Below are 14,928 nucleotides of genomic sequence, written 5' to 3'. Positions count from 1 at the left end.
ACTAACACACATACACTATGGTCAGGACCTACAGCCCAGGTCCTGTCCATGCCTCCAAGTCTCAGGGTCCTGGGGAGGGAGATGAATACTCCTGCAGCACCTTCAATCTAACCTGAGGTGGAGTCCTAGCCTCTAACAGAGGACAAACACCCTTTAAAGGCTAGAATATCCAGTTACATGTAGGCTGACCAGATTAGCATGAGCTGCCTCCAGTCGAAGGCTACAGACAACTAAAGACGTAACAACTCACAAGAATCAATTCATATCCCTTAGGTAAATAGCTCCAGCTTCTTCTAGAAACTTCTACACCTCTATTTTGTCATCTGTGAAATGCAGATACCCACCATACAGGATCACTATGATGATTAAGTCAGATCTATGTATAAAAGATCCTTATGAAATACAGAGTGCTGGACTTCTGTTACCAGTGCTTCCTGGGTCTTCACTAAGGCTGTAGGACTGGATTCTAGCTCTGCTTCTCTTGGCTACTACCCTGGATAATTCAGGCTTGGAGTGGTCTGTCTCTCAGGAAGATGCTTTTTCCCTTTTTGCTTTAGTTGGGACCTAAGTGGCTAGAGGCACCTGTTTTTTGTTTTTGTTTGTCTGTTTTGAGACAGAGTCTCACTCTGTCGCCCAGGCTGCAGTGCAGTGGTGCAATCTCAGTTCAATGCAGCTTCTGCCTCCCAGGTTCAAGCGATTCTCCTACCTCAGCCTCCGAGTAGAGATTACAGGTGCCCACCACTACACATGGCTATTTTTTAAATCTTTAGTAGAGACGGGGTTTCACCATGTTGGCCAGTAACTCCTGACCTCAGGTGATCCGCCTGCCTTGGCCTCCCAAAGTGCTGGGATTACAGGCATGAACCACCGCACTCGGCCTAGAAGCACCTGTCTTGCAGCTGCCTAAATTCCTCAGACACTGTACCAAACCTTGAGATCTCAACTGCCTGATCCAGTTGGGCCACAACAGATATTTTGTTCATCAATGGATCAAGCAAGCTATCAAACTCTCAAGGACCTACGCGGAAACCAATCTAGAGCTCATCTCTTCCGGCTATCCTTTGTCCTGAGTATAACATATCACCTACTATGTTCCCTCAAGAAACCCTCCAGTTCTCCCACTCAGTCTTCCTCCATTCTTACTGAGTAGGGCAAAGAGAAGAGAGAGTAGACTTCAGGATGCCATCATCCTGCTGCTTCTTGCCACTGGGATTCCACATCATCATGCATAAGACCTCTTCACTTTTCCCAAATCTCTTCTACTATGACAGAACCCTTCCCAACAGCCATTTCTTCCTCCCTGGATGACTTTCTTCTTTTTGCCTCACTCTTCCCAAACCGTAACATCAGCTAAGGGGCTGACTACCTGCCAGATTTCTTGTCTCAGGCGCCTCTGCTGCTCTTTGGTGCTTCAATTCTCAGCTTGCTTCCCTTTACCCATACTCCAGAGACCAAGCTCTGAGACCCCCATGCCACAGCAGACACCTCTGACCAACACCCTCTTTATCTGCCATTATCTCTTACCACTGGTCCCCTGAAGATGTCCCTCCCTGGGCCTGTACTATCTTCATATTTGCTCACTAGTCACAACACTTACCAAGTATACATTCTTCAGTTTACCACTATGCACCTCTTCATTTGACCTTCACCATTCCTTTTACCATTTAATGGTTAAACCTGTGTGCCATGTCTGGTACTAGAAATTGGGGGTACAGAGATGCCGGAAAGACTTCATATACATGGTCTCCTTGAGTCCTCATAATGCCCTTAGATGATAGGGAGGGCTCATAGTAACCCCTTTCACGGGTGAGGACAAGATTCAATGTAATCCACTGGAAAGAGGCCTGACCACCAAATCCTTCAGCAATTACTAGATTCCTTCCCTGACCAACACCCCCAGCCAAATTCAGTTTCCTGCCTCCTTTTTCTATTGTTGAACAATGGGCTGAGCTCTTAGGCATATCCCTAAACCCAAGTAAGTCCCAAGGCTCCTGTGTATGGTTGTATAATCTGTGCACTATACATAGGTACCCAGCCAAGGGTGTGAATGGGGCTAAAATCCATCCTGGGCTTTCTGCCAAGCCAAGTGGCTGAGTCTACTGTGAAGAAAGGTTGCCCTTTTCTAATTGGTCTGCCCTGGAGAGATGCTTTTTTTTTTAATAACTTGTACAAAGGTACCATATTGGCTAGCGGTGGCACTGATCCTCTCTCCACTTCCAGAAATGCTCCTTTGTTTATTCCTGCTTCCTTAGACCAGATGCTCTTGGATAGCACTTTCTTTGGCAAGCTCAGCCTGATCTAAAACCAAACTTGTAACTTCTCTGCCAAAGCCTGTGGCCCTTTCGGTATTCGTTACCCTAGTCAATGGCGCCACCATCCATTCATCCAGTCACGCAAGCCAGAAACTTGGAAGTGATACTTTATGCCTTTTTTTTTTTTTTTAACTCCCCAGGATCCTTCCATTCTACTGATTCCAACTCCTAGTTATCTCTTGGATCTATATCCATCTCTCCACATTTACTGTCCTTGCTTTGAGCCTAGTCCAAAAGCCTCTTAACTGGTCTCTGCCTCACACTTATTCTACTGCCAGAATACATATCAAATGAAAAAACGTGTTTATTTTCTTTAAGTTCCATGGCTTCTCATTTCCAACCCAAAACCCCAAAATCTAAACACCTTTCCACACCACACACAGCCTTGGTGAACTAGCTACTCCCCATCATGCCAGCTTCATCATGCATTTCCATGCCCCTGAGCCTCTGTGCCTTTGCATAGGTTGATACTTCTGCTTTAAAATCCCACCCCCACCTTGTTCTATTAGCCTATTTTTTTCACATCCTTCAAGACGTAGCCATAGTTCCAGCACCTAGCACAAGACTTACATAAAATAGATGCACAACAAATGCTTGTTAAATGACTATAAGGATGGATGGATGGATGAGTGGATGGATGGATGAATATCATCCCATCTACCCCATGGAACCTTTCTATACTCCAGCAGGCAGAGTTTGTTCTGTGACAGCCCCTTGTATTTACATACCTCAAACATAACACTTATTATATGGTTACATAATAATCTGTTGACATATCTATTTCTGCAACTAGATTATGAGCTCATTAAGTGCTAGTACTGTGTTTTGCTTACTCTGAACTCTTAGTATCTAGCCCACTATCTGGTACATAGGAGGCACTTAGTATTTGTTAAATAAAAGAACAACGATGGAAATAACTATGTATCAAAAACTGAGATGCAGCCAAAGCAGTATTTAGAGGAAAATGACAGCCTTAAATAAACATATTAGAAAAGGAGGATGGCTAAAATTAATGAAATTTAAAAATCAAAATAAATCTGTCTCATGAAGTTAGAAAAGTAAAATTAACCCAAAGAAAATGGAAATAAATTTTTTTTAAAAGACAAATAAAATTAGTAAGTTTCTGGAAAGACTGATTAATAAACAAAGAAAAACTCTGGGAGGCTGAGGTAGGAGGATTGCTTAAGGCCAGGAGTTCCAGACCAGCCTGGCCAACATAGTGACATCCTGTTTCTTTTTTTTTTTTTTTTTTGAGATGGAGTCTCACTGTCACCCAGGTTGGAGTGCAGTGGCACGATCTCAGCTCACTGCAACCTCCGCCTCCCCGGTTCAAGTGATTATCCTGCCTCAGCCTCCCGAGTAGCTGGGATTACAGGTATGCGCCACCACACCCAGCTAATTTTTTGTATTTTTAGTAGAGATGGGGTTTCACCACGTTGGCCAGGCTGGTCTCAAACTCCTGACCTCAGGCAATTCGCCCGCCTTGGCCTCCCCTATTTCTATCTTTAAAAAAAGTTAAAAATAAAAAGAAAATAAGAGAAATTTAAAAATGTCCTATAGATATTAAAAGGATAAGGAGATCTTGTTGACCAGTACAGACCTTCAGGAGAGCGGTGCAAATGCAGGCCTGCTATAGTCTACTGTCTGCACAGGACAGGGTGAGAAGAGAACAATGCCGCAGGATACTGGTCCACTAGTGCCTTTGCACTGGTTTGGGTTTTGGCTACGCAGCACTGGTTGCCTCTGGAGGGATCACTGACTATGCAAAAGCAGGTAGAATGCTATTCCTCTCTGGGGGTTTAACAGGCCTGGGTGCTTATCAGCTCTCAGGATCCAAGGGATGCTTGGGTTTTCCTTGCTACGTCTGAGACCTTGGCTGGCATTATGGGAATGAGATTCTACCACTCTGGAAAATTTATGTCTCCAGGTTTAATTGCAGGTACCAGTTTGCTGATGGTCGCCAAGCTTGGAATCAGTACGTTGAACAAACCCCATCAGTAGCAGTCATCTTCCAGCTTGGACTCTTTAAGAATTAAAAATCTTCAAACTTCCACTATTTTCAAGGTATTAACAGAAATAAGTACAGCATTTTTGCATATTCTGACATTTTACTTTATTTATTTTTATTATTTTTTTTTGAGACAGGGTCTCACTCTGTCACCCAGGCTGGAGTGCAGTGGCGGATCTCGGCTCACTGCAACCTCCGTTTCCCAGGTTCAAGTGATTCTCCTGCCTCAACCTCCTGAGTAGCTGGGATTACAGGCGTGCACCACCATGCCCAGCTAATTTTTTTTTTTGTATTCTTATTAGCGACGGGGTTCGCCATGTTAACCAGGCTGGTCTCAAACTCCTGAGCTCAAGTGATCCACCTGCCTTGGCCTACTAAAGTGCTGGGATTATAGAGGTGAGCTACCATGCCCGGCCATCTGACATTTTACTTTAGGAAAAAAAAAAAAAAAAAAAAGACACCGTTGGCCGGGCACAGTGGCTCATGCCTGTAATCCTAGCACTTTGGGAGGCCAAGGCGGACGGACAGCTTGAGATCATGAGTTTGAGACTAGCCTGGGCAACATGGCGGAACCCTGTCTCTACAAAAATACAAAAATTAGCCAGGCACGGTGGTGTGCGCCTGTAGTCTCAGCTACTCAGAAGGCTAAGGAGGGAGGATGGCTTGAGTCTTGCAAGGCGGGGGTCACAGTGAGCGGACATCGCACCACTGCACTCCAGCCTGGGTGATAGAGCCAGATCCTGTCTCCAAAAAAAAAAAAAAAAAAAAAAAAAAAAAAACTTAGCAGGGAAAAATTCAGTTACCATTACAATCCCACAGATACCCTAATACAGTTTGATTCTTGTGTATTGATATTATATCTTCTTTCTGTATCATTTTTTTGAGACGGAGTTTTGCTCTGTCGCCCAGACTGGAGTGCAGTGAAGCGATCTCAGCTCACTGCAACCTCCGGTTCACGGGTTTAAGTGATTCTCCTGCCTTAGCCTCCTGAGTAGCTGGGACTACAGGGGCACGCCACCACGCCTGGCTAATTTTTGTATTCTTAGTAGAGATGGGGTTTCACCATGTTGGCCAGGATGGTCTCAATCTCCTGACCTCGTGATCCACCCGCCTCGGCCTCCCAAAGTGCAGGGATTATAGGCGTGAGCCACTGCACCTGGCCTCTTTCTGTATCTTATAGGTAAAATCTCAAGGAATAAAATGTTAAGTGGCAACACTGGGGGCTCTGAAACCTCATGCTGTGCTCAGAGGAACAGTGTGAAGAAAATCTCTTATGATATTTAGGATATCTGTTCTTTTGCTCATCTTAGGGCACAGAGCTACTTTGAAATTACGTTAAATGGAGTATCAGTGAAAATAAAGTTTACTATAAATAAAAAAGGGGAGCCAGGTGCAGTGGCGTATGCCTGCAGTCCCAGCTACTCAGAAGGCTGAGGCAGGAGGATCGCTTGCACTCAGGAGTTTAAGGCCAGTCTGGGCAACACAGTAAGACCCTGTCTCTAAAAATAATGATAAAAAATAAAATAATTAAAAGGGGGTATTATGAACTTTACGCCCTTTTGATGAATTCCTTTCTTAATCACCTAGTCTCATGCCTACCTCTACACACTAGTGAAATTGCTCTCTTCAGTTACTAAGGTCAAAATCCAATGACCTATTCTTATTCTTCAACTCTTGATCTTCACGTGCTCCCAACCACCCATTCCATCTTGGCATTTCTTTCTTACCACACTCTCTTAGCTCTATTCTTCTTTCTCCTCCTGCCTCAACCCTGCTCCTCAATGGTGCAAACCTAGAAACCAACACAGTACTTCCCTCCCATCTTCTTTCCTTTCTTATTCCTTCGGGAAGCTTCTTCAGCATACTTTCAGTTATCTCAGTATAGATAATTAAAAAATTAATGGCTCTAGTCAGACCTTTCACTACAATGTCTACAGAAAATGTAAAGGGAAGAACAGAATGCCAAGATTCAAGAATCAATTAATTACAAGCAGTCATCAGGGTACCACTATGTGCTGGGTCTTTTTGCTTTCAATTTGCTACAGAGATATTTGTGTGTTTGCCTCTCCTATAGAGCATGATTAGCCAATTCATAATTAGTTCATTTTAAGACACTGAAAGTTTAACCAAGAGCCTGATACTTATGTTTAACATGTGCCTTATAGGGATCTACGCCTGGGAACACCAAACTGAAGAGGCTGGGCTCCAAAATGTTATAGTCTATTGTTTACCTGGTGTCAGCCATTAAAATTGCCTTTGGTTTCTAGGAAGTATAAATGGACCCTTTTTGAAAATGTAATGAAAGCCATGGACAATTCACATAAACAAGTCACAGAATTTTGCATGTAAACTTAGATTAAGGACCACAGTTAAGTAAGTGCTGCTTTAAGTAGCATGCTGATCCATGTCTGGTACTGAATTACACACTCATATTCTCAACTTGTTCACCAACTCCATATGGCAGTCCTTGTATTTCAATATAAAATCTGTTTTTTAAACCCAATTTAAAAATGGGCAAGGATCTGAATAGACATTTCTCCAAAGAAAATATATAAATGGCAAATAAGCACATGAAAACATGCTAACATCATTAGCCATCAGGGAAATGCAAATCAAAACCACAATGAGATACCACTTGATAACCTCTAGAATGACCATAATAAAAAAGATAATAACAAGCATTGGTGAAGATGGGGATAAACTGGAATCCTCATATACTGCTGGTGGGAATGTAAAATGGTACAGACACTTTGAAAAACAGTGTGACAGTTCCTCAAAAGGCTAAACATGGAGTTACCATATGGCTGAACAATTCCACCCCTAAGTATATACCCAAGAAAAATGAGTCCATATGTCCACACAAAAACTTGTATACAAATGTTCATACTGGCATTATTCATAATAGCGCAAAAGTAGAAGCAATCCATATGTCCATCAACTGATGAATAAACAAAGTGTGGTATGCCCATACAATGGAATATTATTCAGCAATAAAAAGAAGCACATACAGCCTAAAATATGTAAACCTTGAAAACATTGTGCTAAGTGAAGAGCCAGGCATACAAAACCACAATATATAATTCCATTTATATGAAATGTCCAAAATAGGCAAATCTGGTATACAGAAAGCAGACTGCTGGTGGTCTTTAGGGGGAATGATGGCTAATAGATATATAGGACTTCTTTTGGGAGTGATGGAAATGTTTTGGTGATGGTTACAGAACTCTGTGAATACACCAAAAAAAAACCCCACTGAATTGTACACTTCAAATGGATGAATTGTATGGTGTGTGAATTGTATCTCAGTAAAGCTATTAAGAACCGGTACCTTATAAAAATGTATGGAAAAAGCACTAATCATTAAAAAATTGACAAATTGGGCACCATCAAAACGAACTTTCTGCTCCTTAAAAGACACCATTTAGAAAAAACAAAAAACCAAGAGCAGGGTGCCTGTAGTCCCAGTTACTCAGAAGGCTTAAGTAGAAGGATCCCTTGAGCCCAGGAGTTTGAGGCTACAACGTGCTATGACTGCATTGTGAATCACTACTGTACTCCAGCCTGGGCAATACAGCAAGACCTCATCTCTTTTTCTTTTTTGAGATGGAGTTTTGCTCTTGTTGCCTAGGCTGGAGTGCAATGGCACGATCTCAACTCACTGCATCCTCCGCCTCCCAGGTTCAAGCGATTCTCCTGCCTCAGGCTCCCAAGTAGCTGGGATTATAGGCATGCGACGCCATGCCTGGCTAATTTTGTATTTTTAGTAGAGATGGGGTTTCTCCATGTTGGTCAGGCTGCTCTCGAACTCCCGACCTCAGGTGATCTGCCCGCTTCGGCCTCCCAAAGTGCTGGGATTACAGGAGTGAGCCACTGCACCCAGCCTTTTTTTTTTTTTTTTTTGAGTCAGGGTTTCCTTCTGTCACACAGGGTGGAGTGCAGTGGTGCACTCTCAGCTCACTGCAACCTCTGCCTCCTGGGTTCAAGCGATTCTCCAGCCTCAGCCTCCCGAGTAGCTGGGACCACAGATGCTCAACACCATGCCCAGCTAATATTTGTATTTTTTGCAGAGACAGGGTTTCACCATGTTGCCTGGGCTGGTCTCGAATTCCTGAGCTCAAGTGATCCATCCACCTCAGCCTCCCAAAGTGCTGGGATTACAGGGACCATGCCTAGCCTTAAAGTGTATTCTTTTTTTTCTTTTTTTTCCCCCTGAGACAGAGTCTTGGTCTGTTGCCTAGGTTGGAGTGCAGTGGCGCAATCTCGGCTCACTGCAACCTCCTCCTCCCAGGTTCAAGCTATCCTCCTGCCTCAGCCTCCCGAGTAGCTGAGATTACAGGTGCGAGCCACCATGCCTGGCTTTTTTTTTTTTTTTTTTTTTTTTTTTTGTATTTTTAGTAGAGATGGGGTTTCACCATGTTGGCCAGGGTGGTCTCAAACTCCTACCTCATGATCCGCCTGCCTCGGCCTCCCAAAGTGCTAGGATTACAGGCATGAGCCACCGTGCCCGGCCTTAAAGTGTATTATTTATCATACCTTTATCGTAGGTATGGATAGGAAAAAAAACAGTATCCATAGGGTTCAGTACTATCCATGGTTTCAAGCGTCCACTGGGGTTCTTGGAATGTATTCCCTGCAGATAAAAGGGGACTACTATAACTGTGAACACAGTCAGAATATCTATTAACGACTAAGTAAGTTGTAGAAACTTGCAATGGTGTGTTAGAAAATCATCATTCACAAAATATGGTTATCGAAAAGGAGAAGATCTATGAGACAGAAGGCCTGAATGGGCACATGAGTCACATGTTTTTAACTCTTAAACTACTGGAGCACTCCGTCAGCACTAGGTATGTCAGGTCTGTGGGACGTGAATTGAACAGCTGGCCATCAAACTGCCAAACAGAGTATAGCTCAAACATAGATTCTTCCCACATACAAGAAACTCAAGCAATCCCAACCCCCATTCCCACCCCCCAGATTCTTCTGTCAGAAGACTCTGAAAATGAGAAAACATTTCAGTCATAGATGCAAACTTCTGTCTACTGATACAGTTTCTTTCCTTGGAAAACGAAAAAAAAAAAAAGGCGTTGGGGGAAAATGTCACACTAATATTCACAGTTGAGACAGTGAGTAGTATGCTTCAAAAGATTTGTACTGGTCAACAGGACCCAGCTAAAAGAATGTTGATTTATGAATCTATTTATCTAAGTAAGATACAGTAGTTGAGCCCACAGGAGTTAAGACACTGCTTCTTTCCTCTGCATAAGTCTTAAGAGGCCATAAACCAAAGAGAGCTAAACCTTTGCCTTCTGATATGAATACCATGGGTGAGACATAATAGTGAAGTTCTGGTTTAGCTACAATGGGCAGAAGTTGGAAGAAGCACTATAAAAAGTTCAGAGCCCTGGGTGCAGATTGGGCTCCTCCAGCTGGCACTGGATCCATCAAGGCAGGATAATGTCCTAAGAAATGACCTCATCTGTCTGGTTCTCTGTGGGACGGGAAAGACAGTGACTGAGGCAACTAAGCCATAGTCCAAGAGAAACCATCAACATAAAAATCATCCATTCAATCCATTCATCCACTGAACAAACACTGATTGAGAACTTATTCCATACCAGGCTCTAGCTAAGCACCAGGGATAAAATGATTAATAAAACAGATACAAGAACCAAGTGCAATGGCACATGCCTATAATCACTGCTACTCAGGAGGCTGGGGCAGGAGGATCCCTTGAGCCCAGGAGTCCCAGGCTGTAGTGTGTCTGTGAACAGCTCTACACGCCAGCTTGGGCAATAGAGTGAAACTCCATTTCTTAAATTAAAAATTAAAATTAAAAAAAAGGCTGGGTGCCTTGGCTCACTCCTGTAATCCCACCACTTGGGAGGCTGAGGTGGGCAGATAACCTGAGGTAAGAGTTCGAGACCAGCCTGGCCAACATGGTGAAACCCTGTCTCTATTAACACAAAAATTAGCCACATGTGGTGGCATGTGCCTGTAGTCCCAGCTACTCAGGAGACTGAGGCAGAAGAATTGCTGGAACCCAAGAGGTGGAGGTTGCAATGAGCCAAGATGGCGCTACTGCACTCTAGCCTGGGCAACAGAGTGAAACTCCGTCTCAAAGAAAAAAAAAAAAAGACGACCAGGCGTGGTACCTCACACCTGTAATCCCAGAACTTTGGGAAGCCTAGGCAGGAGGACTGCTTGAGCCCAGGAGTTCGAGACCAGCCTGAGCAACAAAGTAAGATCCCCATCTCTATAACAAAAATTTAAAAAATTAGCCATGCATGGTGGCATGCACCTGTGGTCCCAGCTACTCAGGAGGTTGAAGTGGAAGACTGCTTGAGCCTAGGAGGTCAAGGCTTCAGTGAGCTGTGTTTGCACCACTTTACTCCAGCCTGGGCAACAGAGCAAGACCCGGTCACCCTCCAAAACTTTTAATTTAAAAAATTTTAAAAAAGAAAAAAAAAAACAGATACTGTCCTTGTGTTGATGGTTTTGAGGGCAGAAGAGAGACATTAAACAAACTGCTACACAGTATCTATGTGATTACAAGTATGCTACTTAGCTACAGTTGACAGTTGTCATGTGGGAATGTGGAGATGGTAATTGAGAAGGCCTGAAGGTTGGAGATATGAATGACCTCTGCTCCATTTTTCTTAGAATCAAAGAGTGAGAATAGGGTTCCAAACAGGAATGTTAGACCAATGACCAGTGCAGGCTTGCCCCACCACTAAAGAGAAGCAATGACATGTGGTGCCAGTAAAAGTTACTCAAGTCTTCAAAAATTGAGCCAAGATCTCCCTGGCACTGGGGCCTAGTCATGACTGGATAATAGAGGATAAACAAACACATCATATAACTCCCAAGAAAATACATACACTAATACACAAACCCAAAATAGTCTCTCACTGTCTCTCTCTCTTTCACACACACTAACTCATGCTCATTTATGCATGTACAACCTACCATCACAATCATAACCCACATTCTCAGCCTCACACCTCCAAAGGTATATACACACCTCACACGAATATATATACACACAAGCCACCGTACCAGGCTGGCTGCTGCTCCACTCCTCACTCTCTGGGGTGCTAGCAGTGGGTTGTCCCTCTGGGTCCTTTCCTTCTTCTTGCTTCTCCTGTAGAAGGCAAGCCTGATCCCAGCTTCTTCTCCTCATGGTTTGGGATGAAGCCCTAGGGTCTGATCCTGGCCCCTACCTGGCTCTCTGGCCATGTGGTGTTCTGCCCCAAACAGGCAGAATTTCTTCTAGGCCGCCAGCAGGAGTGCAGCTCCAGCAGACATCCCCCTATCACTTGAGCACAGACTCACATGAGCATGCACATCCTAATTAAACAGCCTGACTACAACTCTCCTTATTATCTGGTAGAGAAACTGAGTACACAAAAACTTCCTTTGTGATGCTCTTACACGCCCAGTAGAATTCATGCTCTGTCCCTTCCAGCTTCTGCAGCTAGAGCCCTGGGTGTTCCCTGGCCTTTGGCCTAGGCACTGGACTCCAGTGATGGAGTTTTCCAGCTGCCTGCACATGTACTTTGGGTGCTAGTTCACCTGACTATGTCTTAACCTTGACACTAAACTGAGATGGGAGCTCTGGAAAATCAAGAGAGTGATTAATTCATTTCCCTTTAACCAGGTATAGGACCTAACTCAGGATGGGACCCCAAAATATGATGAGTGAGTCATTATGCGTGTCTTCTCTGGCCCAGCTCCATAATCTGGATTGATGGAGGGGACAGTGGGAATTGAGGCATAGGCTATAGCTTCCCCCTCCCTTCCCCACTGCCCTCTTCCTACCATGGCCTCTGGCTCCGACTCCTCCTCTGATGGGCTCTGGTATTCCCTGCGCTTCCTCTTCTTCATGGGTTTGAGGAGCTCAGAAGCGCTGGTAGAGCCTGAGGAGTTCTCCACTATGACTGACCTGAGGAAGGGCCAGCCTTAGGGAAAGAACCACCCGCCCTGCACCACCCAGCCCCTCTCCTAACCCCTGAACAGGAATGAGGCTTTGGGGGCTGAAGGTAGAGCAAGTAGGGCTGCGACCTCCTCCCCTTACCGCTCCTGGAACAGCTGAGGGCAGCCATCATTAGAGGAACCAAGATCTGGACCCGCGGCTTGGTGAGGCCCGCACGCCTGGCACTGACAGGTGCTATCATCCTCTGGGGGGTCCTGATTGGGATCTTCTGGAGGATTCTGGGGGTGGTCCTCTGCGGGGGCCAAATGGGCCTCAGGCCTCCCTCCCCATCGCAGCCACACTCAGGCTCCGCCCACGCCCCCTCAGGCCCTGCCTCCGCCTCGGTCCATCTCCGCATCGGATGGCCTCCTCCAGCCTTCTCCACCCCAGGACCACCCCGGGCCCCGCCCCCGAACCTTCTGGGGCTCAGGCCTCGCCCCACCCGCACAGGGCCCAGCTCAGGGCCTGGGGAGCGGGGCTCCTACCCGCCTGTTGGGGGCCCGCCTCGCCATCTCCCGCCGGGGCCCCGCCATCTTCGTATTCGGTCACGCCTTCCTGCCGCAGCTCGGGGCTCGGGGGCTGCTCCACTCCCGCCATGTTCAGCGGCTTATACTCGCTTATCCGGAACTGGAGCGCGGGAGGGTCTGAGGATTGCGACTCCCGTACGGGTCCTTGACCCATCTCGGAGTCGGTGCCATGGCCCTCTCTTCGCCTCATGCCAGCTCACGCCCTCAGCAGGCCTCAAGACTCCACGCCAGGGGGCCTCACTCCAAGCTACACCAGCCAAACCCTCACTCCAGGCTACGCCCCCAAGCACCTGCGGGGTCCAGTCCCAGGGTGCCCCACTCTAAGCCACGCCCCCAGGCTCCCACAGGCCCAGTCCCACGGTACCCCACTCTAAGCCACGCCCCCAAACTAACACAGGCCCACTCAGGGTGCCCCAGTCTAAGCCACGCCCCCAGACACCCACAGGCCCAGTCCCAGAGTGCCTCACTCCAAGCCACGCCCCCATAGTCCCCAGGGCCTAGGAGTGCTTCAACTCAAGCCACGCCCCGAGAGTCCCTCACTCAAAGCCCACCCCTAGGGCCCATCATCTGAGCCAGCTTCCCCCACTTCCGTCTCAGGTCCAGCCTCCGGGCCTGCAAGCCCCGCCCCATGGCTGCGGTTTACGAGGCTTAGCCAATCCCCACAGACACTGACCCGCAGGCCGCCCCCTGGGGGCGGGGCCGCGGCCTCTGTCCATTCCAGAAGCCGCACTGTGCTGGTGCTGGAGCTGGCCGGCCCGGCGCTAAGCTGCGGCAGGACGGTGGCAGAAACTGGTTCGCAGCCGGCCACTTGCTCCGGGGCACCCACATGGATTGGCTCCCGGGGAAAGCAAGACACATCCAGGGCACTGCTGGGCAGGCCGAGGGTGGCCGAACTGGCTGTAAACAGATATACAAATAGACACGACACAGGTGAGTCTAGTGGCCCTACCTCAATCCGGCCATGCATGTGTAGGCATGTGAAGGAAGGCAGGTGGAGGACAGTGAAAACGGTCATCCCCTCTCCAGGATCCACACTTGCTTGAGCAGGTACAGAGATGCTCTTCCTTCCCAGACTCCTACCCTAGCTTGACTCACCTGGAATGATGAAGGCAGTTGCGGGCAGGTGAGGACCAGAACCGGGGCTGTCTCCGGCCACCAAGTGCATGCTGACCTCCCCTGTGGAAGGCCCCTTCAGTGTCCTCAGCATCTCCATTTCAGCATGCCCCTCCATCCCAGCATGCCCCTCCATCCTGGCAGGCCTACAAGCCAAACATAGCCCCCAGGGTGATCAGGTGGGGACCTTTGTTACAGCAGCAATGGAGATGTGAAGGGATGGGGCTTCTTTGAGAAGCTAGCCACCTTCAAACCCGTGACCTGCAGAGAAAGGCCTCAGTCCTGTGGGGAGTAGGGTGTCTTCAGAGACCAGCATCAGGTCTGGCTCCTGTTCTGGCCAGGCCCTGCACCTCCCCAGTCTCTGTAAGGATGGTAAGGATGGGTAGGGTGGCATGTGTGAGGGTACTTTGTAAACTGTGATGTACAAAACTGACTCTGGGGAGCATGACTCAGGTCAAGGTTCTGTGTGGCCAGTTGTCTCCAGGACATAGCCCAGGCCACATCCAAACTCACCTTTTTCTTGACCCCACCTCTATCCCCACTGGAATCACTCCCTCCTCCCTCTGGGGATTCAGAGACCTCAAGTACCAGGTTTTCCTTCACCCATACAGGGTTCATCTTCCTGGGAGGTGGGATCTTTCCTGATCATGTTCTTTTATGGCCCTGTCCACCACTCCCTCCAACCCCAAGCACAGGGTGGGCACTCAAGCATCTGCTGAACAAATGTATGCATCTGAAGAGCAGAGACATAGTGTACGAAGACGCAGTCAAGTCAGTACGTGATTTTGTTTTAATAACGCAAAGGCAGTAGAAGCATTTCACAGAGTTCATTCAACAGGTAAAGACATAAAGAAAAAGACCTAGAGATACAAAGAATATACTTAATATCTATTTACTCAGCACCTAAAATGTACTGACCACTGTCCTACTTGCCTTACCAGCACTGTCCAGTAGAATTTTCTGTGATAATGAGAATGTCCAATACTTAAACTG

General features: G+C 46.8%; 1 protein-coding gene and 1 pseudogene across 17 annotated transcripts in view, besides 1 other annotated feature; one reads left to right on the top strand and one right to left on the bottom strand.

Annotated features, from left to right (window-relative positions):
• The window catches only part of L3MBTL1 (L3MBTL histone methyl-lysine binding protein 1), a 43,258-nt gene that overhangs the window by 23,398 nt on the left and 4,932 nt on the right, over nucleotides 1-14,928 (bottom strand). For 12 of the 17 annotated variants that reach the window (NR_165191.1, NR_165196.1, NR_165195.1 and 9 more), the window contains exons 1-4: nucleotides 12,781-13,116; nucleotides 12,398-12,548; nucleotides 12,142-12,265; nucleotides 11,380-11,464 (exon numbers count right to left, since the gene is read on the bottom strand). Coding sequence is in view for 9 of the 17 variants with exons in the window: in NM_001377307.1 (NP_001364236.1) it covers nucleotides 11,380-11,464; nucleotides 12,142-12,265; nucleotides 12,398-12,548; nucleotides 12,781-13,012 (592 nt within the window). In the remaining 8 variants the exon portion in view is untranslated. Of the gene's footprint in view, nucleotides 1-8,853; nucleotides 8,951-11,379; nucleotides 11,465-12,141; nucleotides 12,266-12,397; nucleotides 12,549-12,780; nucleotides 13,117-13,495; nucleotides 13,720-13,917; nucleotides 14,082-14,928 lie in introns of those variants that run through there. The other 5 variants (NM_001377306.1, NM_001377303.1, NR_165189.1 and 2 more) reach the window with 4 other exon arrangements.
• On the top strand, nucleotides 3,985-4,313 carry LOC107985380 (transmembrane protein 14C-like; annotated as a pseudogene).
• Nucleotides 12,694-12,783: a silencer, noted in NCBI's record as "silent region_12927". NCBI's record gives its function as "represses an Ori minimal core promoter by ATAC-STARR-seq in GM12878 lymphoblastoid cells {active_cell/tissue: GM12878}" and the evidence as "EXISTENCE:reporter gene assay evidence [ECO:0000049][PMID:35858748]".

The sequence above is a fragment of the Homo sapiens genome, chromosome 20, assembly GCF_000001405.40.
Source record: "Homo sapiens chromosome 20, GRCh38.p14 Primary Assembly".
Lineage (NCBI taxonomy): Eukaryota > Metazoa > Chordata > Mammalia > Primates > Hominidae > Homo > Homo sapiens.
Note: the sequence above shows the minus strand (reverse complement) of the source record. Positions and strands in the feature narration are given on the sequence as shown.